We start from the raw sequence: 25,681 nt of genomic DNA on the forward strand, positions 1-25,681 counted from the left end.
ACCTCCTTGAGTCCATTTTAGTCCCTGCCAGATGGTCACTTCTCTGTGATGCTGCCCTAACTCCTTGGCAGCCATGCTGCTCCCTTGACCATTCACTAGCCCCTTTAATTCAGCCCCAGCCACAGTGAGGATTAAATGGGATGATGTCTGAGAAAGCCCATGGGCAAGAACCTGGCATGGAGTGGTGCCCCATAAATGATGAATGGAGCTGGGGTTGCTTTCTCAGCCAGCTGCCTGGCAGGGGCCTGGCTTCCTCATCTTCACACGTCAGTGCCTAGAGTAACACCTGGCACACAGTGAACACAATCTCAGTAACTGTTAGACATTTGTCTTTTGGGGAGCTGCTCAGCCTCCCACATTGGGGTGTGGGTTTTTTGTTTTGTTTTGTTTTGTTTTTTGAGACGGAGTTTCATTCTTGTTGCCCAGGCTGGAGTGCAATGGTGCGATCTTGGCTCACTGCAGCCTCCGCTGCCTGGGTTCAAGTGATTCTCCTACCTCAGCCTCCCGAGTAGTAGCTGGGATTACAGGCACGTGCCACCATGCCTGGCTAATGTTTTGTATTTTTAGTAGAGACAGGATTTCACCATGTTGGTCAGGCTGGTCTTGAACTCCTGACCTCAGGTGATCCACCCGCCTTGGCCTCCCAAAGTGCTGAGATTATAGGCGTGAGCCACCACGCCCGGCCTAGGGGTGTGGGGTCTTTTACCGAGTAGGCCTGGTGGGGGAAGTCAGGGACCCCACCACAAAAGTTGGAGAGGCCACATCCTCCCACCTCCATCTGGGGTTAGACATGTGACCCAGGCTTGGCCAATCGGATGTTCCTCCATCTTGCCCAGAATTCACACTCAGCAGTGGTCTTCACGAGGGGTGGTAGTGGTGGCCAGTAGGAGCAGGGCTGGGCAGCCTCCCTAACCCACGTTCATGAGACTTGAAGCTGGCTGGTTTCCTGTCCCCTGGCCTCCCTTGCCCATTCCCATCCTGGTGCTCCCTCCCTATGGACTCCTTTTGCTCATAAATATCCTTCCAATTAATTGCTTTGCTGCTTCTTAGCTAGTGTTGTTTCTGTCACTTGCAACCAAGAGCCTATTCAGGTGCAGGAAGGGTTGAATGAACAATGGAAATGGATCAACACATGTTTCTGAGCATGTGCTGACAGGCAGGCCCTGGGCGGAGTACCACGGTGTTCAAATGATGTGTAAGATGTGGGCAGTGCCCCGGGGGGTCTATGGGGAGACAGACCATGCATGACATCATAAACAAGACCACATTATAAAGTGGGGTTTAGTTGGACCTTGCAGACACCCAGAGAAGACGACTTTGAGCCCTCATTGGATGGTGCCATCGCAAAGTACAAAACGAATTGGGTTGTAGGAACTGGAGGCACTGGGACAATATTCCAGATTAGGGATTGAGCTGAAGGGGTTGGAAATGGCTGAGTAGGGTGGTGGAAAGGGATGCCTGCTAGTAGGCAATTGTCTTAGTCTGTTTTGTGCTGCTGTAATGGATTACCACAGACTGGGTAATTTATAACAAACAGAAATTTATTTGGCTCATGGTTCTGAAGGATGGGAAATCCAAAATCAAGGAGCCGGCATCTGGTGAGGGCCTTCTTGTTGCATCATAACATGCCAGAGGGTGTCACATGGTGGAAGGGCAAAGAGAGGGAGAAAGGGAAAGAGAGGGAGCAGGAAAGGGCAAACCCACTCCCATGATAATAAGCTCACTCATATCATGAGTCATTCATCCATCGTGAGGGCAGGGTCCACCTCCCAATACCATCACAATGGCAACTAAACCTCAACATGATTTTTGGAGAGGACAAACATTCAAACCATGGCAGCAGCGTTTGTGGGAAACACGAGCCAAAGCAAGAAAAGACCAACCTAAGAGTGAGTGACTTGGCTCCTCATTCTACATTCATTTTCATCCAATGGGGCCCAAGGGCATGTACCCATTACCCATCTGGGCAGTTCCCTTGAATGTGGGCTTCTGTTTGCCCGTGGAGGTGAGGAACTTCAAGGAAGAAACCATGAAAGACCTCTTGAGGCTGAGGGCTGGCACCAGCACCAAGATCTCCAGGCAGCTGGAACAGTGATGGCTCCTCCGTCCTCGCAGGCGGGGCACCCAACAGGGTGTGACCGTCACCTGAGGGGAGACAGCCAGAGGCACAGGCCTGATCCTGGGACTGAGGTTGGCGGTTTGGGTGGAGAGGTGATTCTGAGTGTGACACCCTCCAGTGATAAAGTGGGGGGCTTCCCAGCAGCCCCTGGGGAAACAGGCTGCATCTCTGGAGACAGGAGATATGTGGAGGCCTGAGGGGCAGTGGAAAGCCCTGTGTGTCTGGGTCAGGTCTCTCCTTGGCAGGTAATGGTTTGTCCCAGTAGTTTTCAGACTCCCCATCCTGCCCTGTCCTTCTCCTGTCTGATGCTCAGACCTGTCACTCCCAGCTCAGCCCCCACCTTACTGTCTACCCCTCAGAGTCCCTCCCACCAAGGGCACCTTCTGTCCCACATCTCCATGGTGCAGTCATGGGAGGAGAACTTGGGAGCATAAGAAACTCCACCAAGTTGGGGCCAGGCATGGTGGCTCACGCCTGTAATCCCAGCACTTTGGGAGGCCGAGGCTGGTGAATCACAAGGTCAGGAGTTTGAGACCAGCCTGACCAACATAATGAAATCCCGTCTCTATTAAAAATGCAAAAAATTAGCCGGGCATGGTGGCAGGTGCCTGTAATCCCAGCTACTCACGAGGCTGAGGCAGGAGAATCACTTGAACCGGGAGGCAGAGGATGCAGTGAGCCAAGATCGCGCCATTGCACTCCAGCCTGGGTGGCAGTGAAAGACTTGGTCTCAAAAAAAAAAAAAAGAAAGAAAGAAAAAAAAAGAAACTCCACCAAGGGCTTTTGGGTCCTAGGGACAGCAATGATGTGGCTGGTCCAGCCAGAACCTCATTTTGTCAGTAAAGTTGGGACCCATATTCCCTAAGAGATTTGTCCCAAGAACACATGGGTTGCTACAGCGGAGGAGAAATCAAGTCTGTTTTCCCTCTGGTGAATTGTCCCCTGAACGTGCTTTCTTCCTACAGTGTTGCCAGGAAAGTAAAAAAAAAAAAAAAAAAAAAAAAAAAGTCCACGATGTCAGCTGGGGTGATACCAAAACAATTGTGGGAGGAACAACATCCGCAAATTGAATAGTGTGAGGAGTGTGGACAGAAGATGTTTTGTCTTTGGCCTCATCTCCCAGACTTGATCTTTGTAAATACAGAAGTTTCCACCAGAGCCGAACCTGGCAATGACTTGAGGAGCAGCTGCAAGGAAGACAGCCTCTCCCAGGGTATCACCTGGGGGCACACCCCAGCTTCCCCTCCTGAGCCTCATCGAGGGGTTAGTGCTACCTCTCGGGAAAACATAAAGATGACAAGAAGCCAAAGGTGCCAATAGTTCCCATTTAGTATAAAAGCTGGCTCAGCAAATCATGCTATTTCAGGGCCTAGGGTGGGCCAGTTCCCAGGCAGCCCTGGCAGGAAGGACTCTGAGAGGCGGACAGTAAGGTAGGGGCTTGGGAGTGATAGGTCTAAACATCTGATGGAAGCAAAAGGGAGGACAAGGGAGGGAGTCAAAAAATCCGGGAAGCCTGTCCTTCCAGAAAGTACCGACACCAGGGTGAGGTGGATCCCAGCACCCGCACCTCTGAATGGCCTTTCCCCTGCACCCCTATCCCGCCCCCACTCGGAGCTACCCCAAGCACCTGTTCCTCTGGGCCCCAAGGTGACGCCCTTTGTGTGTGTATAGGAAAGGACGGTGTACACATTTGGTTAGTTCCTTCTTTTACACCATAAATTATCAGAGACAACCCTTTTGGAAAGCAATTTGGCAATAATATCAAGTGACATAAAGATGTTCATAGCCTTTGGCCCAATAATCTTCCTCCTGGGAATTAATCCTAAGAAAATAATTCACAAGGAAGAAAGAACCATTTTGTATCTACAAAGACATTTATTGGGGTGTTATTTATGATAGGGAAAAACTGGAGACACCCTCCCCAGCCAACATAGAGGGATGGTCCTATAAATTATGATACATCCATCCAATGAAATGTTACCCTGCCAGTAAAAATGGTAAATTGAAAATTGTGTAGCAACAAGAAAGAGTGTTCAGAAAATAAAAGCAAGTGAAAAAAGGAGCACAGGATTGTCTATATGCTGTGATCAATGGCAATGCTGACAAATCCATGTATGTGTAGATAGTTGTAGTGTTACCTGTAAGGCACGATAAGGCGGATGTAACTGTGCTTCAAATGTTCTTTTCCATAGCTGTGGAGTCCTTCTAGTATGAAATCATTTTTGTAAAATCGCAATTTGTCACCAGGGGTTTTGACTTTCCTTATTGCCTCGTGGGAGGTGGCAGAGGCAGCACATCTCAGACCGAGCCTCGGTTCCTCCCCCTACCTCCCACCGCTGCGCTTGAAGAAAGATGCTGCAGCCTCCCCAGTCCCCATGCCAGCGCTCCCACTTTTCTCTGAGCTTTCGGTGGCAGACAGCGCCTTGGGCACTTTTTCATGCTCATAATTCGAATTACCTGTTTAAGTCGGTCAAATGAAAAAATACCAGCTCCGCCCCCACGCGGGCTGGCCGGGGCGCCTGGAGCGCCAGGGCGGCTGCAGCGCGCTCTCCGCGGCCGTCGGCCCTGAGCTCATTTCCTGGGGCGCGCGCGCCGGGCTATTTCAGCCTGGCGCTGTGCAAACAGGACAATTTACTGCGGCCAAAAGGGACCCAAATTACAATCGTATCACAGACAAATATCCGCCACGCCAGGTCTCCAGGGGCCAGGAGGGGCCTCTCTCCCGGCGCGGGGGGCGGGCGCGGGGTCAGGCAGGTCCGCGGGGCTCGGCTCGGCCTCGCCGTGCCCTGATCGGCGTTTGCCACCGAGCTGTGCCTGCTCTCTGCAACAGGAAGGGGCCCAGCTCCCCCGGGCGACCGTTCCTATCTGAGTTCTCGTTCCTATCTGGGTTTTCGTGCAGAAAAACTTCATCTCTTCCCAGGGATTTTCCCCTGATTTAGGGTCCCCTTTTATTTGGTTTCTTTTCAGCACTTGGGATGAAAACATCCCTCCATCCAGCCACTCCAGGGCTCAAAGTCATATCTCCTCGTTCAGAAACCTCAGTGCCTGTCCACCACTCTTCCGGAAAAGTCGGAATCCTTAGTGTGATGGTCAAAGACCGCTCTTGGTCCAGTCCACCTGTCCAGGGCCAGCCCCTGTACCCAGATGCTCCAACCACGGAGAGCACATCAGACTTTCACAATTTTATCCTTGACAATTGCCTTTTCATCCTGCCTAAATGTTCCCTTGTTTCTTTCTGCCTAGTGAGCTCTTATTCCTTCTTTAAGACCCAGATACACATCACCTCTTCCATGAAGCCTTCCCAGACTTCCCCTTTCCCTGCTTGACATCTGCCTTCCAAGCAGAGTCAGCCCCTTTTCCTTCCTAGCACCGTGCAGAGGTAGATGGTACTTCTCACATCCTGTAATTAATTGCTTGCATGCCTGTGGTACACCGTACCATTGCTCACAAATATTTCCTCTTCCTCTCTGGAGAAGGATTACACTTCCTTGATCCATTGGCCTCACTCAGGCTTCGCCACATGACTGGTGCTGGCCAGTGAAGTGGGACATGTGAGTTACTGGGGAGCAGAAACTTTCAAAGCCAAGCATGGCTCACCTTGTTCTCTCTTCCCTCTGTTACAAGGATGGCAGTGCCCCAGCCAGAAACCACACTGCCAGCCTGGCATAGGAGTGGAGCAGGGCACACATAAGTGTGAGAGAAATGAACTTCACCTCAGTGCTCGAGGCCCCTGGGACCATGGACTCATTTGTTACTGCAGCATAAACTAGCTGGTCTTGACTTCAGCTTCTGCCTCTCTTCCCTGGCTTTGCCTTCACAAAATCAAGAGTCTGATCTTACTCATATTATAGAGCTGGTCTTCAACCATGTTCTTTTTTTTTTTTTCCTTTTTTTTTTTTTGAGATGGAGTTTCGCTCATGTAGTCCAGGATGGAGTGCAATGGTGCGATCTGGGCTCACTGCAATCTCTGCCTCCCTGGTTCAAGCGATTCTCCTGCCTCAGCCTCCCAAATGGCTGGGATTACAGGTGCTTGCCACCACGCCTAGCTAATTTTTGTATTTTTAGAAGAGATAGGATTTCACCATGTTGGCCAGGCTATCTCAAACTCCTGACCTCAGGAGATCTGCCCGCTTCGGCCTCCCAAAGTGCTGGCATTACAGGCATGAGCCACCATGCCCAGCCCCATGTTCTTCGAATGGCCAAGAATATCAGTAGGTAAGGTTTGTTGAGCATGGATTGTGTGCCAGGTGCTGTGCTATGCCTTTGGCAAGCGTTATCCCATTACATCCTTTAACAGCACTCTCTGGTGGGTACTGCTCTTATACAAGATTTACAAAAGAGAAAAGAGACTCAGAGGAATGTAGGGGCTCACGTGAGATTGTAAAGTAGTGAGAAGTGGAGCTGGTCCTTCAGCTCAAATCCCTCTGATGCCAAAGAACTCAAACTCTGCAGTTCCATCATGTGCATCCTCACTCTCTCACTTCCTGCAGAGGATCTGTGGAGGTTGTAACTATTGTTTTCACCTGTCTCTTCCACTGGGCTCTGAGCTGCCCGAAGACAGATCTTTTTTTTTTTTTTGAGACAGAATTTTGCTCTTGTTGCCCAGGCTGGAGTGCAATGGCACGATCTTGGCTCACCACAGCCTCTGCCTCTTGGGTTCAAGCGATTCTCCTGCCTCAGCCTCCCGAGTAACTGGGATTACAGGCATGCGCCACCATGCCTGGCTACTTTTGTATTTTTAGTAGAGACGGGGTTTCTCTGTGTTGGTCAGGCTGGTCTTGAACTCCCGACCTTAGGTGATCTGTCTGTCTCGGCCTCCCAAAGTGCTGGGATTATAGGCGTGAGCCACCACGCCCGGCCCCGAAGACAGATCTTAATCATCTGATTTCCCATCCATTAATTCAGTCTTTCACCAAGGATGTATTGAGTGCCAATTATATGCCAGGCATCATCTGATGTGTTGGGGACAGAGAAATAAAACAGATAAAAATCCCTGCTGTTAATTCTAGCCTATGGTGACAAGAAGCAGATCCGTGGCTGCCTGGGGTGAGTGTGGGGTAGGAAATGGGAGAAATGGGGATGACTGCAACTTTGGGGGTAGTGGAAAATGTTCAGTATCGTGGTAGTGGTGGTGGCTGTACAGGTATATATATCCGCATACATCCCACAGTTCAGAATTATACACTTTAAATGGTAAATGGATACAGTTTATTATATGTAAATGATCCCTCAATTAAGTTGATTTAGAGGAACCTGGCCGGGCGTGGTGGCTCACACCTAGTATTCTCAGCACTTTGGGAGGCCGAGGTGGGCGGATCATGAGGTCAGGAGATAGAGACCATCCTAGCTAACATGGTGAAAACCCATCTCTACTAAAAACACGAAAACAAAAAATTAGCCGGGTGTGGTGGTGGGCGCCTGTAGTCCCAGCTACTCGGGACACTGAACCTGGGAGGCGGAGCTGGCAGTGAGCTGAGATCGCACCACTTCACTCCAGCCTGGGCAACAGAGCAAGACTCTGCCTTGAAAAAAAAAAAAAAAAAAGAACCCTTGCTCTTATGGAGAAGCATTCTACTGGGGAAAACAGACAATAAACACATAGATAAATAAAACATATGTCAGAAAGGGGTAAGTGATGCTCAGAAAAATAGGACAAGGGATCAGAAGTGCTAGGCGTTGCAATTTAAAATAATGGGGTCTGGAAAGCCACCCTGAGAAGGGCCAATGGAGCTATGCCCAGCCTGTGGTATCCTTCCTCAGGCAGGGGACTGTACCCCCAGCTTACAAGCCTTTTCGAGGCACCTTCAGGGTTTGAGCCCAAAATGCACTGCACATTAAGTGTTATTGATGGGCTTGTGGAAATCTGCTCTCCGTCAGGCTCTGATGAAACTTTTCCAACAGGAGACTGAACTCAGTACTGGGCATGGCCCCCTGCACATAGTAAGTCCACAGCAAATGTGTGTGGGGTGAATACTGTCTTCTTTATCCTCCCTTTTTCTACTCCAGTCCAGGTAGACGGTGTATCTACCCACCCAATTTTGCTGTTTCTGGTACCCTCAGTGGGTCTTGCCTGCTCTTCCTCCTTGAAATCATTACTCAGAGGTCTCCGTGTCAGCTCCAGACAGATGGGCCTGGTGCTCCTTTATCTCAATACAATTCCCCCGCTCCCAGGCTCCAGGGGAAATCCTGAGCTAACTTTGGTCTTTCCTAAACTCCACACTTCCCTTTGGGCACCTCTTTCCCCATTGCGGGGCTCCCTTTCAGAATTTGCTGCTTTATTTATTTATTTATTTTTGTCAGAGGTGCATTAATGATGCTTTATTTAAAAACAAAAAACTTGGCCAGGCGCGGTGGCTTATGCCTGTAATCCCAGCACTTTGGGAGGCTGAGGTGGGCGGATCACAAGGTCAGGAGATCAAGACCATCCAGACCAACATGGTGAAACCCAGTCTGTACTAAAAATACAAAAAAAAAAAAAAAAAAAAATCAGCCGGGCGTGGCACATGCCTGTAATTCCAGCTACTCAGGAGGCTGAGGCAGGAGAATCACTTGAACCCGGGAGGCAGAGGTTGCAGTGAGCCGAGATTGGGCCACTGCACTCCAGCCTGGGTGACAGAGCGAGACTCCATCTCAAACAAAAAAACACCACAAATAAATAAAAAATAAAAACAAAAAACCAAAAACAGTCCATTCCATGTCGTGTTGAAACTGATCAGTGTAAGTTAAATGGTGGTTTTTAGGCTGGACCCATGATTTAAGCTGTACCCATCCAGCTCAAACTGAAAAAAAAAAAAATCATTTGAATGTTAAAGCAATCGTTCAGAGTCTTCAAGAAGAAACCAGGCAGGAAAATGCCAATAATGATGACTGGCAAAATCAAAATCTAAAACAAATAAACTGTTTATCAAGCTGCCGACAGAAAAAGAAATCTTGCATGGAGACTACAAGTCTGGATTTTCTGGGATGAAATTGTACAGGAATCTCAGTCTACAGTTTCCTCAATCGCTGTGGAGATGGAGCTGTCACTGAATCTGACAGAGCCCTGCACTCCCCAGTCCGCCGACCCTTTCTGTAATCCAGTCTTCACTGTAGCCTGAGGAACTATTTCAACCTGCTCCTTTTTTATCTTCTTCTTTGGCACAACCTCAGTGGACTTCTCTGATTCAGAACAAGTTCTAATTGATCTTCTCTGTTGCTTCTTTTCTACTGAGCCTGTAGAACCAGATGTTGCTTCAAGAGATGATATATTCTGCATTGGCTTTTCATTTCTCTGGTTTGGTTTAGAAATTATAAGCCTGTCTTGCCCCCTGACACTTATTTCTGTTTTGTTACCAATTCCCTTTGTTGAATAAACAAATTAATTTCCCATCCTCTGTAGCATTCTGAAGAGCAAACACTTCTTCAATTTTCACAGCTGGAGACATGTTACACTTCTGCAAATCCAGGCTCCCTTTGTGCATTGTAATGGAAGCTGGTAGGATTTCCTTGCTGCCACAGTTTTCCAGGCTATTTTAACAGGAGGTGGCTCTTCCTCGTCCGCGCTTGTGTGCTGCCTCGGGCTGTGTCTCCAAATGTCAGTACTTGAGAGTGAGGAGGCCACCTCCCCTGCATTGATCTGTTCTGGCTGAGTTTAAAGCACAGATCTTGGTCATCAGGTTTTTTTAACTTCGGCTTTGGAGACAACATTCTTTTTTTTTTTTTTTTTAGATGGAGTCTCGCTCTGTCGCCCAGGCTGGAATGCAGTGGTGCGATCTCCGGTTCATGCCATTCTCCTGCCTCAGCCTCCCAAGTACCTGGGATTACAGGCGCCCACCACCATGCCCGGCTAATTTTTTTGTATTTTTTTAGTAGAGACGGGGTTTCACCGTGTTAGCCAGGATGGTCTCAATCTCCTGACCTTGTGATCCGCCCGCCTGGGCCTCCCAAAGTGCTGGGATTACAGACGTGAGCCACCGCGCCCGGCCCCAACATTCTTTTTTGCTTGGGATAAACCCTCTTCAGGCTGTTAATCAATATAGATAAAAGTATACTGTTCTATTCTTTCTTCTCAAGTCATTTTCAATGCTTTCTCTGCATGGGCAATGCCAAAATCCCATTGAGCATGTTCTCTCTGAGGTCAGGGTTTCCAAATCTTTTGTTTCTCAGAGTGATTGCTGGCTTGTTTGGTTGCCTCAGCCAGTAATTCTTCATACCGCTTATGACCTTTATACTCCTGTACCCATTTTTCATGAACCCACACCCTCTCTGGCTGTTTGCTAAAACACTGGACATGATATTTTCGGGCACCTCCTGTGTTAATTTTGGTATGAACCTCCAGCTGGGGATCACTTCAATCCATACAAGGCCAGCACGGATAGGTTCCCACCTTGGACCACACAAGATCACCAACTTGAAACTTAACACCAGTGGACACTTCTGTTGTTGGAACAGAAGATAGTATTGGCTGAACTGGGGCTTCCTCTTTTAGTACTGGATCTTCCCTTGGTTTTTCTGATATGGTGTGAACCCTCTCATTTGGTCTATTTTGTTCCTCTGGTTCTAATTTGGGGATTTTGTGTGACTTGCGCTCTTCAGATCTTGATGAGTCATGCTTTTTGGGTTTTTTCCTCTTTTCTTTTCTGCTTTCATGCTTTGACTTCGTGTGCTCACTTGCCTGTACTTCATTTAAAAGGTCTCCACAAAGGGAAGACTTGAACAATTCCCTGCCATTCTGGATAGTTTTGGTTATTTTTAGTTTAACTTCAGGTGAGCCACTCTTCTTTGGAATCACAGTTTGTGGTACCGAAGTGGTGGCTGTGGAGGGGAAGGGTTTTCTAGAATTTAATGTGGTCTTCTGTTTAGAATTTCTGAATGGTAATAGTCAGTGGGGCTAAAGTTTCTAGCTGCGCCAAAGTCATTGGCTGACCCATTAGGATATTGATTATGCGACTGGTATTTGGTTTGAATTTCATACATGCTGATTGATGGCAGGTAGCCATTTGTGAGTGGAGGAAGATCTGTTGTAGGTGAGTATTGAAAGCTTTGCTGCAAGGTAGCTTCGTATGGTGTCTGGCCACCATCTTCAGCAATGTCAATTTTGTTATCAAAGGCATCCTCCTGACGGATGCTGGCGGAGTCAGTGAGTTGAGGTGGTTGTTGAACTGTGTTTCCCGTGATCCCTTGCATGAAAGAGAAAGAGAAATCCATTGTTCTGCTCCAGCATTCTTAACTTTCCCTTTCTCTCATCGGGCCTTCAGTTTGTCCCGTTCTAACCGCCCGGCCGTCTCAATGCGATCACAGGAGGGACACGGAGATCGAGGAGGGCCACAGCCGGACCAGGCCAGGCGTGCTGCGGCAGGAGGAAGGCTCCGGAGGTGGGGTGGGAAGGGGAGGCCGAGAGACGGGTGTCGCCGCGCCCCCGCTGCCGCCAGAGAGGAGCCTACGGCTGGCAGCCTGGCCTGGGCAGCAGGGTCCTCGGCGCTCGGCTGGGAAATCGCACGTCTCTCCGCGGTGACCTGTGCACAGCCCCTGGGCCTCCGCCTCCGTGCTGGCAGCCTCCGCCTCAGCGCACAAAGCCCCGTCACCCCGACTCTCGGGGCGCCGCCGCCGCCAAATCCTCAGCCCCTCCCTCATTGGCCGCGGCGTCTGCCGGGAAGTGCAGTCCCGGGTTTGGGGCGATGGAGCCCAGGAGGAAGCGGCGAGTCAGCGCGGCGGAAAGGGCGGAGGGGACGGAGGGGGCGGAGGGGACGAACCACGAACGCCCGCGGCCGCGAGGGTCTGGACGACAAAGGAGAGACTAGGCGAGAGGGCTTGTTGCTTTTTTTTTTTTTTTTTTTTTTTTTTTTTTTTTTGAGACGGAGTCTCGCTCTGTCACCCAGGCTGGAGTGCAATGGCGCGATCTCGGCTCGCTGCAACCTCCGCCTCCCGGGTTCAAGCGATTCTCCTGCTTCAGCCTCCGAGGAGCTGGGATTACGGGGGCGCGCCTCCACGCCCAGCTAATTCTTTGTACTTTTAGTAGAGATGGGGTTTCACCATGTTGGCCAGGCTGGTATCGAACTCCTGACCTCGCGATCCACCCGCCTTGGTGTTGCACTTTTATAACTCTTTTTACCTTCTCACCAAACTAGCATTTAGGAAAAAAAAAAAATCAACAAAAACAAAACAAAAAAACCAAAAACCTCTATCAGTCATTTACACGTTAGTTGGAAATAATTTAGACCAGTGTGGCTCTCCTTCGCAGAACACATTCAGTCCTCTGTGATTATTAGAAGCAAGGTTCACCTTTTGATCTTGGTTAAAGAAATTTCAGGCTAAATTTCTGGGGAGGAGATGTATTTCAGGTTCCAGGATCCCAGAATTGCTCTGCACAAGTCACAGCCATCCTTGTTCCCTGAAGTCTCTGTTGGCTGCACCATGTCTGCTGCTCCTTTATGAGTGGTTTTGGGAGAGGCCAGGCTGAGCTCTTACTAGCTCCTTGCAACAAAACAAGCGAATGTGAAAAGTCTTAAACACTCAGCTTTCTGGTCAGAGGAAATCCCAAAATCAGCATGACTCAGGATTTTAAGTGCCCCATAGAGTGTCCAAGAGAAGAAACCTAGGAGTCTAGGGTCTTTCAAAACCCCAAAGTTAAAACCTTTTATCACCCTTTCCTGACCTTCCTGGCTTAGGATTTTAGGCAGCCTCTTGGAGGCCTCCCTTGCCTGGGGCACACTTGGCCATAAACCCATTCATTCAGCCCTACTGATTTAGTGCCCATTATGTGCCAGGCAGAGGAAAAGTAGAAATGGTAGGATCTATCTTCAAGGGGCTCAAAGTCTGCAGGAAACAGGATCCGCTAACAAATTAGAGCACAAGGGTGTGCCGAGTGCTATAATAGCAGTGTGGGTTGCTGTTGAGAAAATACAGAGGAGGGTACCACCAGGGAGCTTCTATGAGTTGAGCTGAGCCTTGAAGGTTGAAGAGGCATTTCTCACATAGAGAAGACGAAATAGTGCCCTGATTGTATACTAGGAATGAAAACACCAAGTGCTTACCAAGCTCAGATAGGTAACGTAAATGAATGGAGTAGGTGAGTAAAGTAGCAGGGATTGTCAGCGGTGGTGGGGAAGTGGAAGGCCTGCATCCTGCCTACAGGGCTTCTGCTGGAAAGACAGCCTGGCCTGGATTCAGCCTCCATTTGCACCTTCTGCTAGGTGCTTTTGTGCAGTGCACAACTCACACAACCTCACATGGCTGCCCTGCCTGCCTAAGCTGGCCATCAGCTGCTTGTTGCCATACTGAAAAAGAGGGTTTGGTTTTGCCTCGCCTTGCTTTTTCAATAGAAGCCAGAAACTTGAATTTTTATGTAAAAATTTCCAATTTGTCAAATGCCATTGTAGCCAAACAAAAATCTAGCCTCAGGCTGGATCCACCATAGAGTTTCAGTTTGAGACCCCGATGGGAACCAGTCCCCTGGGCACATGCTGCTCTCTCTCCTCCATACCATGCAACACAGTCCTTTGCTGAGATTTGACAAGGGAAACACAGTCATAGATGAAACCCCCTACAGCTGCTGCAAAGCCCTTCAGAAACATGAGATTGGCCTCTGAACCAGAGGAAAGTAACGTGGGGCTGTACAACAGCAGCCAGCCTGTGAGACTGATGGATAAAGCTTTAATTTATCGGTGCACCTTGTTTGGAGAAAGCTTCCCTGCCCTCTTGGCTGCCCCCACCTCCAACCCCTCCTGTTTTGCTAATGATAAATGACAAGCAGTGGACATTTATTAATTAAACCACCCGCTGTAGCCATTGGTAAAACCCAAGGCCACATGCAGGGGAAGCATTCAAAGCATTCCTGCTGCCCCTGCCCAGGGCACAGGCCCCAGGGTTATCCTTTGCTGGAGAGAGCAGGCCACGGCGGCCACAGCCTCACATGATGGGCCTTCCTAGGATCTGTCTGGGTTCTGGCTGATAAATGGAAATCACCTCCATGGGCCACACAGTAATTAAACTCCTGGCATTCTTTTGACAAAAAAAAAGTTCCTCATGGGACATTCCCACAAGCTGCTGAAGGTCTGGGCCCTGCAAGCTCCCAGCTGATTACCAAGGAGTTTTCGAAGTTGGCCTTGACTGAGGATCAAAGGAGGATGGGAGTTCAGGGAATGAGGGTGGGGGTGGGAAATGCCTTAGAATTAAGTTGATGATGGCCTGTTGCGGTGGCTTATGCCTCTAATCTCAGTGCTTTGGGAGGCTGAGGCGGGAAAATCACTTGAGCCCAGGAGTTTGAGACCAGCATGGACAACATGGTGAGACCTTTTCTTAACAAAAAATTTAAAAATTAGCCTGGTGTGGTGGCACATGCCTGTGGTCCCATCTACACGAGGAGGCTGAGGTGCTAGGATTGCTTGAGTCCAGGAGGTTGAGGATGCAGTGAGCTGTGTTTGCACCACTGCACTTCAGCCTGGTGAAGGAGGAGACCCTGAGACAGAAGGAGACCCTGTCTCAAAAAAAAGTTGATCATTTGGATGTTCGGCCTGAAACACCCACATTTATTTCCCCAGGACCGAGATGGGCAGAGAGATAAAAGCAGGCCTTCAAGGCTCATTTATTTATATTTCTACTGTTTATTTGTTCCACTGATGTACCCCAAGTACCTAAAACAGAGCCTGGAACATAGTAGGTGCTCAGTAAATATTTGTTGACTGATTAGCTGGAGATGTGCTCATGTCTTTTTAACGAAAGCAGTAATCAGGAGAAATTCCTAATTAAGGTCCTAGAACCAGTGGCTTCTAATTGTTTGCTGCCACAGGATTGTAAACATGTTGAAGATGAGGCCAGTGTCTTATTCAATTGACTGTCCCCAGAAGCAGGCACAGTGCCCAGCCTAGGGCCTACACACCGTGGTTTCTCAACGATATCAATTGTCTGAATGACTCAGGGGTAAACCATTTTTCAGTGCTGGGTCAGGCAGAGCCCCACTGGGACGTGACCTGCACACACTTTGGCAGTCCCCTGGGATGCAGTGGTAGCAGCAGCAGAGTCATAAAGCCTGGGGATCAGAGCCACACTGGATATCACAGCTGGAAAGGCCTGAGATCTCAGCCAGTCCCTTGCTAAGCAGAAAGAAGAAATGAATTAGCTACAAATCTTGGGGCCTCTAAAAACACAGCTTCATTTTTCTGTTTCTCCTATAGACTCCCCATTCTGTCCAACTGCCAAAAACATTTAAGTTTATTTAATAATCAATGTCAGCTGAAGTTGGTCATATCAGACTTAAATTCAATCTATTCCCAGTTGCCTCAACTTCCCTTGTCAGGTCATCTACTTAGTTCTAGTGGCTTCTGTGCCATAGGAGGGGGAGCTGGAGGAGGGGGAGAGCCGAGCCATGGTCATCAGTATCTGTCTTCACTAACCTCTTGGGCATGGTCACCCCATTTTGTTGGTGTCTGCTAAATCCACATCTTTTTTTTCTGTAGTAATTAGCCCACACACTCTGTGTCCTCCTGACTCTGCAGCTGAGGCCCTCCCAGCCCACCAGGCCCTGCCCAGCACCTTCCATGCCTTCCTTGGAAGTGTTGGAAAACTAGCTGGCCCCTCATACTATAGGGACCCAGGGAAGTTCTGATTGACCCTGGGTGCCATGATAGAACAGGACTCCACCCACTCAGCATTCCAGATAAACAGTGGACACAGTCTCCTTTGCACTCCTATTTTCCCAACTGGTTGGGAGGATTCTGTTGGTGCCTGCTCCCCACCCTATTGGGATCTCTGTCTCCCTGGTGAGCTGTGTATGTGCATGATGGTGAGGGTCTCCAGCAACAAGGAAAGGAGTTACATTTGTCCATATTCACACTGCTATAAAGAAATACCTGAGACTGGGTAATTTATAAAGAAAAGAGGTTTAATTGACTCATAGTTCCACATGGCTGGGGAAGCCTCAGGAAACTTACAATCATGGCGGAAGGGAAAAGGCATGTCTTACATGGTGGCAGGTGAGAGAGAGTGTGTAGGAAGTGAAGGGGGAAGAGCATCTTATAAAACCGTCAGATCTCCTGAGAACTCACTCACTATCACCAGAACAGCATGGGGGAACCACCCTCATGATCCAGTCACCTCCCAGCAGCTCTCTCCCTCAACACCTGGAAATTACAATTCAAGATGAGACTTGGGTGGGGACACAAAGCCTGACCATATCAGAGGTTGATCTTGCAGCATTTTATTCTCTGAATGTCACATGGGGAAACGGAGGTCAAGAAGGTGGAAAAGACTTGCCTAAGGCCACACAGCATGAGTGAGTGTGCCTAAGGCCACACAGCATTGGGCCAAGAGCCTGGGACTTGGTAAGCCCCTCCTGAGCCCTCCTCCTGAGCCAGGCCCTGTCTCAGGTTCTAGCACATGCAACTGCAACCAGCAGGGTATGTGTCATAGTCTTAAAATATGGCCACAAATTCTTTGATGATCTTCCCATTGAGCTGTGGGGTCTATTTCTCTCTTTTCTTTGAATATTCGCAGGGTTATGACTGCTTCAATTAATTGAGTACAGAGAGGTGATGCTGTATGACTTCCAAGCCTAAGTCATCTCAGGCCATCAGCTTCTGCCTTTGTTAATGGAACACTTGCCTTTGGAGTCCTGAGCCTCCAGGTAAAAAGTTCAACTATCCCAAGGCTACCATGCTGTGAGGAAGCCCAAACTACACAGAGGGGCCATGTGAAGGCACTCTGGTTGACAGTCCCCACTGAGATGTCTCAGTCCAGGCACCAGGCATGTGAGGGAAGAAGCCCCCAGGTGATTTCAGCCCTCAGCCTTTCCAGCCACCTCTAGCCATTTGAGTCTTCACAACCCTGGCCCTAGACATTGGAGAGCAGAGACAGGCCACCCTGTTGGGCCCTGGCCAAATTCTTAAACCTCTGAATCTGTGAGCCTAATAAAATGGTTGTTGTTTTATGTCACCAACTTTGGGGTGGCTTGTTACACAGCCACAGATAGCTGTGCCATCTTAACCTGCTGGATTGGTACCCCTTAAGTCTCTGATATCCATGCTTCTGCCCGGCCACTAATGAAGCCACATCTGTTCCCACCAGAAGACCACTGAGAAGGCCAGTGAGTGTGTGGTGGGGACCCTTGTTTGAAGGAAGTTGGGTGAAGGAAGTTGCTGACATGCATGACTGCTAACAAAAGAATATACATCTGCGGAGGTTGTTCTGGAAGTATCTTAGGGAAGTAAAGGAAAGGAATTAAGACTCATCGACAACAGACTCCATTCCTTGCCCTGCCCATCCTTATTCATTTATTCAACAAGGGGTCTATGAGCAACTACGAGGTGCCAGGCCCTGTGTTAAGATTCTGGGACATGGACACAGGCCTGGCCCTAGTGGTTCTCCTAGTCCAGCTAGAGACAAACATTAAACGATGATTAATATACATACTTTGAATGAAAAACTTAGGGTGTTCTGAGAGTGCGTGGAGACCTATTTAATCCTCATAATATCCTTCTGAGGTAGGCACCATCCTTTCTATTTTGCAGGGGAATACTAAGGCTCAGAGGGGTTAAGAGACCTTCCCAAGGTCACCCAGCAGGGGAGACACCAGATTGCAAAGAAGCAGCCCCCACCCACCTAGTGAGGCCAGGAAAGCAGAGGCATAAATGTCCAGCTGAGCATGAGACTCCTTGGGCCAACAGGAGCACGGTGGGGTCAGCACCCTCAGACAGGCAACCTCTGAGGGAGCAGCATTAACCCCTGGGAAGCCAGGGTAGCTTGTTAATCCAGCAAACCTGCACTTCTCAAGAAAAAATGGCCCTCTGTTGGGAAGGAATGATTGAGCTCTAATCATCTAGCAGTCCCTGGGCAGCCACACTCACCATCTCTATAATGAGGGCAGAAATAGAAGGCAAGAGGTATGGTAACCATCCAGAGGCAGTGACTGGGACTCCTAAACCCCTCCTTGATTCTGAGTCCCCAGGGGCCAGTGGAGGGGCATTGGGAGGTGAGACAAGACATGCAGACAACCCGCCTCCAAGAGATGTCATAGAGAAGTGGGCTTCAGACCTTGGGGTGTGGAAGCACCTGGAGAATAGGTGAAAACGCTGATGCTTGGCCCCACCCTGAGGGATTTGGGTTCATTTGGTCTGGGGCGAAGCCCGGGCATCTGTGGGTTTTTTTTTTTTTTTTTTTTTTGAGACAGTCTTGCTTTGTTGCCCAGGCTGGAGTGCATTGGCATGATCTGAGCTCACTGCAACTTCTGCCTCCTGGGTTCAAGCGATTCTCCTGCCTCAGCCTCCTGAGTAGCTGGGATTACAGGCACCTGCTAACACACCTGGCTAATTTTTGTATTTTGAGTAGAGACGGGGTTTCACCATGTTGGCCAGGCTGGTCTGGAACTCCAGAACTCAAGCGATCCGCCTGCCTCGGCCTCCCAAAGTGCTAGGATTACAGGCATGAGCCACCGTACTCTGCCAAAAATATATATCTTTAGATTAGCTTTTAATAGAGTTCTTCAAATACCCAAAAGATTAGGGAAAACTAGGATGCTAAAAGATGAAATAGGTGACTAGGCAAATAAATCATTAGGGAAATTGGTTTCAGGCTCATGGTATTGTTCCCCACAATGCTGGGCAAGTTACTTGTCCATTCCAAGTTTCATTTTCCCCTACCTGAACAATGGAGCTAATAAAATTGATTTCGCCGGGCGTGGTGGGTCATGCCTGTAATCCTAGCATTTGGGAGGCCAAAGTGGGGATGGATCACCTGAGGTCAGGAGTTCGAGACCAGCCTGGCCCATGTGGTGAAACCTCATTTCTACTAAAAAAAATACAAAAAATTAGCCGGGCATGGTGTGGCATGTCTGTAGTCCCAGTTACTCGGGAGGCTGAGGCAGAGAATTGCTTGAACTTGGGAGGCGGAGGTTGCAGTGAGCCGAGATCGCATCACTGCACTCAGCCTGGGTGAGTGCAGAGTGAGTGAGACTCTGCCTAAAAAAAAAAAAAAAAAAATTTCACAGTGTAGTTTTGAGGACGTTGTAAGAGGGCGTGAGTTATGTGCCAGGTGGGTGGTAAACGTTCAATAGATGCTACTTTCCTTCCTTCCTGAGCATTTGGACCACACAGAGACCTCCCTGCTCTTGGCTTTGGCTTTAAGGAGCTTGTGGTCACTGAGAGGATTTTGCACTGGAAGTACATGCATTCAAAATGGATACCTAAGTGTATATTTTCTGGTGTAAACTATATGTCGACTCTAACTTTAGCCCGGGGGAGCTTTATTATTTGTCTCCCTTTCATGAAAGCTATAATAGAGGAAGAGAAAACCCTGCCTCGCACATTCCGATTCCTAAATACATAATTTATAATTTTCTGGGATATTATTTAAGTTTATTTTAGTTCTGGATACACACCATCCCCGTGGGGTGCTTATTTAAGTATCGGGTGGGCTCTGGAAAGGCCTGGAATGCCTCAAAAGGAGGGAAGAAGATTCTTTCCATTCATTAAACAGCAGGGCCTGGGGTCTTTGCAGGTTCTAGGGCTTAGAAGTTTCCTTAACACCAACTGAGGAGTCCCAGGGTGGGAGCTGAGCTCACACGAAGCTCTACTTCGCGTGTCCTGAAGCTTTGACAGTTGGGCCTCTTTCTGGCTTTTGCATCCTCTGCTCATACTAAGGCCAGCAGAGCTACAGGTTGGACCATGGTCTGGCCGGGAGCTCCAGCTTCCTCTTTTCCTCTCAGTAGTCATCGGGCCAGCTGCCCATACCTGGTGCCCAGGTATGAGAAGAGACCTTTGGCTTTCACCAGGTTCTTGAGAGGGTCAGGGACCTCCAAAAGGATAAATGCCATTGGTCAGATAGTCACTGTCTACCTCCCTCCCATCCATTTCCTGCCTTCAACCCCTGTTCTTGGGACAAGGCCTTCGCTGGCATTCAATGGCGGGTCCCTGAGGAAGGCCCCAGCCTTGCCGAACATCCTTCAAGGGAGACTTCAGCCCCTGGCCCTGCAGTGAGTGTGTTGTTAGCAGCAGAGGGGCTGAGTGAGGCAGTGGGATGGGGCTTTTCTTTTTTGTTCTGGTTGCAAATTATAAACCCCCAAATGCTGGAGTTCCAGACTGAGGTTCACAAACTTTAGAGGGCAGAACTAAAGTCAAATGTGCTTTTAAAAGCACCCCAGGAGATGCTGATGTGGGTGGACACTTGAAGAAACACTGGTTGATAAAGTTTCTCTCTTTCTTTTTTTTTTGAGATGGAGTCTCGCTCTGCGGCCCAGGCTGGAGTACAGTGGGGCCATCTCACCTCACCACAACCTCCACCTCCCGGGTTCAAGCAATTCTCCTGCCTCAGCCTCCTGAGTAGCTGGGATTACAGGCGTGCGCCACCATGACCAGCTAATTTTTGTATTTTTAGTAGAGATGGGATTTCGCCATGATGGCCAGGCTGGTCTCGAACTCCTGACCTCAGGTGATCCGCCTGTCTCGGCCTCCCAAAGTGCTGGGATTACAGGTGTGAGCCACCACGCCCAGCCATGGTTGATAGTTTCTAGAAAGCTGTTCCAAGTTACTGGCTGTTTTTGAATTGTTCAAGCTTAAAAAAAAGTAGGCACCCTTTAGGAAGGCCAGTAGAAGTCCCATTCCCAAGGAGGGCAGGCCTGTGAGCACGTTAATGGCAACAGTGGCAGCTAACAACCACTTTTGTAGCCCTACTGTGCCCCAGACACTGTTCTAAGCACTCATAAACATTAATCTAAACCTCCCAAGAGCCCCACATGCCAGGACACTCGTGCCTCTATTTCAGGAAAGGCCATCTGGATCTTGCAGGACGGCAAATGGGAGAGGACAAACAGAGCCCCATAGGTGAAAAGGAGGAACGAGAGGCTGGAGAGGAATGGGGAGCATTAGAGATCACAAAATGTGGTAGACAGAATAATGGTCCCCAGATGTTCGCATCCACATCCCTGGAACTTTTGAACGTTACCTTATCTTACCTTATGTGGCAAAAGGGACTTTGCAGGTATGATTACGTTAAGAATCCTGACATGTGAAGATCATTCTGGATTATCCAGATTAATCCAGGTGGATTGGGGGAACCCAGTGTCATCACATTTAAGGGTCCTTAGATGTGGAAGATAGGGGTAGAAGGGTGAGTCAAGGGAGTGCCATGAGAGAAGATGGAAGGGGTCACAAGCCGAGGAATGCAGGCCACTTCTCGGATCCGCAAAAGGCGAGGATATGTGGTCTCTCCAGATAGGAGCACAGCCCTGCTGGAACCTGGATTTTAGCCCCATGAGACCCATCTTACACTTGTGACCTTTAGAGCTGTAAGGTCATAAATTTGTGTTGCTTTAAGGCTCTAAGTTTGTGGTAATTTGTTGCAGCAGCCATAGAAAACTAGTAGAAGGAAGAAAAGGAGCATTAAGAGAGATTTCCCACTTTGCTTTGAAAAGTGGCTAGAAATAGATGGGGAAACGGGGAGAAGATGGCCCAGAGCGGAACGGGGGAGAAAGTCTTCTTCTATGACTAAGGAAGAGTGAGGCTTCTAAACGGCCCTCAGGAAAGTGTTTGTGCCATGATGCTTTTCAGGAGAGAGTAGAGATCAATTGATCTCTGTGCTGTGTTCTTACATGAAATATTTGGGAGGGAAGTGTTGTGGTGAGTCACTTGTATTTTTTTTTAAATACCTGCCACTCCCAGTTTTCCAGATAGCTGAGGAAAGGCTGGGGTTCAAATCCCATAAAAAACCAACATCATTCAATTGGTACATTCTCTAAAATGTACATAAGACATCTAGGAGGACTTCATAATGATTAAGAGCAATCAACTGCTAATGCAGTGAGTGCTTATTTTTTCCAGGCACTGTACCAGGCATGCTGCTTCATTTAAATTTTGCAGGGACTTTTGAAGTAGGTCCTACCTTGATTTCCATTTTGCAAGTGAAAAGCATCACATTGAGATGTGGCCCTTCAGCCTTAGCCCTTTGATATGGTTTGGCTCTGTGTCTGCACCCAAATCTCATTTTGAATTGTGCTGCCATAATTCCCATGTGTTGTGGGAGGGACCTGGTGGGAGATAATTGAATCGTGGGGGCAGTTTCCCCCATACTGTTCTCGTGATAGTGAATAAGTCTCACGAGATCTTATGGTTTTATCAGGGGTTTCCACTTTAGCGTCTTCCTCATTCTCACTTTGCCTGCTGCCATCCATGTAAGACGGGACTTGCTCCTCCTTGCTTTCTGCCATGATTATGAGGCTTCCCTAATCACATGGAACTGTAAGTCCAATTAAACCTCTTTCTTTTGTAAATTGCCCAATGTCAGGTATGTCTTTATTAGCAGTGTGAAAATGGACTAATAGACCCTTCTTCCTCCTTGCTAAAATACTTTTTTGATGGTGATCATGAATTGGCCTTTGCGTGCAGTGAGTTTTGACTGGTCTGCCAATGCCTTTCCTTTCCAGCTATGAATGGTTTTAAAAAATATCAATGACAAGGCCCCACCTCATAACCATTAAATGCAAAACTCTGGTAGGGGCCCAGGTGTTTCTTTTCTTTTCTTTTCTTTTCTTTTTTTTTTTTTTTTGAGACGGAGTCTCTCTCTGTCGCCAGGGTGGAGTGCAGTGGCACAATCTCAGCTCACTGCAACCTCCACCTCCCAGGTTCAAGAGATTCTCCTGCTTCAGCCTCCCAAGTAGCTGGGACTACAGGTGCGTACCACCACGCCTGGCTAATTTTCTGTATTTTTAGTAGAGATGGAGTTTCACCTTGTTAGCCAGGATGGTCTCAATCTCCTGACCTCATTATCCTCCCACCTCCGCCTCCCAAAGTGCTGGGATTACAGGTGTGAGCCACTGTGCCCAGCTGGGCCCAGGTGTTTCTTAAAAGCTCTCAGGTGATTCTAATGTTGCAGCCAGGGATGAGACCATTTGTCTAAGGCAATCTGGATAACTCCTTTCCCATTAGCCAGGGATTAGCCTGTGAACTATTCTGACCAAGGAGGCATGAACTTTTCTGTTTCTGGATGTTGTCATCTGCAAATAACAGGAAGGAACCTAGGATCTGAAGATGCTGCTGAGCTGCCTGAGTAGCTCACCTGGATCCACCCTATTTCTAGACTTCTTGTTATATGGTGAATAAATGTCCTCCTGGTTTAAGACAAGGGTTGGCAAACTATGACCCAGGAGCCAAGTCTGGCCCACTGCTTGATTTTGTAAATAAAGTTTTATTGGAATACAGCCATGCCCATTTGTTTATGTATTGTCTACATATTGTTTAGTGCTACAATGGCAGGGATGCATAGTCACGACAGAGACCTTATGGCCTGCAAAGCCTCAAATATTTACTCTCTGGCCCTTGGCCCTTTGCAGAAAAAGTTTGCCAGCTCCTGGTCTAAGGGTCTTTTTGTGGGCCTTTCTATTACTTGCAGTTGAGGGTATCTGTTAATTTGGGAGTTTAGCTTCCCCAAGGTGGCATTGTTAGTGATGGCAAGTTTTGCCCCCTTTAAGCCATTTTTTCATGGGAGAATAATTACAGAATGATCTTTAAGGGATTTCAATAATATCAGCCAATCCTACTGCCCACGGGGAAGTGGGATCACACAGGTTGGGGCTTCAGATAGGCCTGGATTTATGGCCTGGTTTTATCATATAGATCCAATTGTCTTTGAAAAGTGACTTCATCTTCTAGTCCTCAACTTTCTCATCTAAAATGAGGACAGTTATATCTACACGAAGGATGGGTACCCTCATGGAGGCAATTCCAGACAAAGGGATCAGTGCAAGCAAAGGAAGCGAGGTGAAAAATCTCCAGGTCCACATGGAGAGCCGCAAGCTGCTCTGCCTGACCTAAGCCAAGAGCATAGAAAAGGGGTCATGGGGCACACTGTGGTGAAGATAGGCTGGCATTTGTTGCATAATAATTTCTCCAGTTGTCTTGGGTTTCTGAGAGGTAGCTTCTAAACCCTTGGAATTTCCCAAGTGATAGGAATGTCTTTGTTATTCATAGTGAGCCACTGGGACCATGCCTGAGTTTATACTAACAAGGTGACTCATGGTGGGCCCCTAGATAGTTTCAAGATGGGGACTAGCCATTAGGAACCAACCAAATGATTAGAGGGTTGGGGTTTTGAGCCAGATTATATCAGCCTGACTTCCAGGGAGGTTAGAGATTGAGTTCAATCACATGGCCAATTATTTGATCAATCATGCCTCGTGATGAAACACCAATAAAAACTCTGGACCTCAAGGCTCAATTGAGCCTCCTGGTGGGTGAACACCAGTGTGCTAGGAGGGTGATACATCCTGACTCCATGGGGAGAAGATATGGAAGCTCTGTGTTTGGGATCCTCCCAGACCTCACCCTATGGATCTCTTCATTTGGCTGGTCCTGATTTGTACCCTTTATAATAAAAGTGTAATGGTAAGTATAGCACTTTGCTGAGTTATGTGAGTCATTGTAGCAAATTGTCAAATATGAGGGGTTGTGGGAACCCCCAAATTTGTAGCCAGTTGATCAGAAATGCAGGTAGCCTGGGGACCCCATATTATGTGGGGTCTCTGAAGTGAGGGCAGTCTTGTTGAAGACTATGTCCTTAACCTGTGGAGTCTGTACTAACTCCAGCTCCAGGTAGTTGACACTGCAAAAGTATATACTGCTGTATTGCAGAGCTGGATTCATGAATGCCTGTTTCCAGACTTGGATTTAATTTGGTTGGTGGTGGGGAGCCATAGAAGGTTTATGAGAAGATGAATGACAGGATCACTAACTGAGATTCTGGAAGAATAATTGGGCAGAGATAAAGGCTATCTAGAGCTCTCCCTGAGTCACAGGATCTTTTGGTCATGCACTCTCAACTTTGACATGTGATGCTGGTCACCAAAGATGCTTCCTTTCAAAAATAAACAGCAGCTATAAAGGAACTCACATATATTGGTAGGGTTGGAGCCATCCCAGGGCAGGCCAGGCCTAGGAGCTACAGGAAATCCTCACTTCTGGAAGCAGAAGGTCAGTTGCTTCTTCCTGGACCACACCCTCTGCAGACACTAGGGCTCATGGAGGAGTCCTGGAGGGATACACAGCCCAAGCCTTTGCTTTCCACCGTAAGAGGATGGCAGTAGAATCTGGGTACAGCTTCCTCTTGGAGGTTTGGGGAACCCAGTGACATTCAGGAGCCCCCTTTTTTAAACCTTCTGTGCCCTCCAGCTTGCTTCTTTCCAGCAACAGCTAGCCACTGGGGCATTGTATTTCAGCCTTTCTGGGGCATCCCCTGCAAGATAGGCACCGGCACTGCCTGCTCTCTCTCTCCCTGGATCTGATTTAGCCTTCACTGAAACCCTGCCCAAGATGATGACTTAATCTCTGGGCTGAGCGAATGCAGCCAATATGTTCAGATGGATTTTGCAAGACAAAAGCTCAAATCTGTTTTGTGGCTGCAGATACACATTCAGACTGAACCACATCCGTGGTCATTCCAGTCACAAACACAAAGGGTGCCATGAATTCTTTCCATGAAAAATAATTTCCATTGTATTGTTTCTGTCATCATTCATTTCATGATAAGTCAGTTAAAACAGCCGGTCCGAGTCTGTCATTGATTCCAAGAGCCCCATTGTCGTGTCCTTAACTTACTGATAGTTTT

The 25,681-nt window shown here is 48.3% G+C and overlaps 1 pseudogene, besides 7 other annotated features; it reads right to left on the bottom strand.

Moving 5' to 3' along the window:
- Window positions 4,616–4,815: a silencer, noted in NCBI's record as "silent region_8562". NCBI's record gives its function as "represses an Ori minimal core promoter by ATAC-STARR-seq in GM12878 lymphoblastoid cells {active_cell/tissue: GM12878}" and the evidence as "EXISTENCE:reporter gene assay evidence [ECO:0000049][PMID:35858748]".
- Window positions 4,876–4,945: a silencer, noted in NCBI's record as "silent region_8563". NCBI's record gives its function as "represses an Ori minimal core promoter by ATAC-STARR-seq in GM12878 lymphoblastoid cells {active_cell/tissue: GM12878}" and the evidence as "EXISTENCE:reporter gene assay evidence [ECO:0000049][PMID:35858748]".
- On the bottom strand, window positions 9,183–11,305 carry WHSC1L2P (Wolf-Hirschhorn syndrome candidate 1-like 2, pseudogene; annotated as a pseudogene).
- Window positions 9,429–10,033: an enhancer, noted in NCBI's record as "NANOG-H3K4me1 hESC enhancer chr17:41795928-41796532 (GRCh37/hg19 assembly coordinates)". NCBI's record gives its function as "activates a minimal SCP1, AML or CMV promoter by ChIP-STARR-seq in naive H9 embryonic stem cells {active_cell/tissue: H9 hESC(naive)}" and the evidence as "EXISTENCE:reporter gene assay evidence [ECO:0000049][PMID:30033119]".
- Window positions 11,473–11,542: a silencer, noted in NCBI's record as "silent region_8564". NCBI's record gives its function as "represses an Ori minimal core promoter by ATAC-STARR-seq in GM12878 lymphoblastoid cells {active_cell/tissue: GM12878}" and the evidence as "EXISTENCE:reporter gene assay evidence [ECO:0000049][PMID:35858748]".
- Window positions 11,573–11,682: a silencer, noted in NCBI's record as "silent region_8565". NCBI's record gives its function as "represses an Ori minimal core promoter by ATAC-STARR-seq in GM12878 lymphoblastoid cells {active_cell/tissue: GM12878}" and the evidence as "EXISTENCE:reporter gene assay evidence [ECO:0000049][PMID:35858748]".
- Window positions 11,833–11,892: a silencer, noted in NCBI's record as "silent region_8566". NCBI's record gives its function as "represses an Ori minimal core promoter by ATAC-STARR-seq in GM12878 lymphoblastoid cells {active_cell/tissue: GM12878}" and the evidence as "EXISTENCE:reporter gene assay evidence [ECO:0000049][PMID:35858748]".
- Window positions 25,032–25,681: an enhancer, noted in NCBI's record as "H3K27ac hESC enhancer chr17:41811531-41812180 (GRCh37/hg19 assembly coordinates)". NCBI's record gives its function as "activates a minimal SCP1, AML or CMV promoter by ChIP-STARR-seq in primed H9 embryonic stem cells {active_cell/tissue: H9 hESC(primed)}" and the evidence as "EXISTENCE:reporter gene assay evidence [ECO:0000049][PMID:30033119]".

Source organism: Homo sapiens, chromosome 17 (assembly GCF_000001405.40).
Source record: "Homo sapiens chromosome 17, GRCh38.p14 Primary Assembly".
Lineage (NCBI taxonomy): Eukaryota > Metazoa > Chordata > Mammalia > Primates > Hominidae > Homo > Homo sapiens.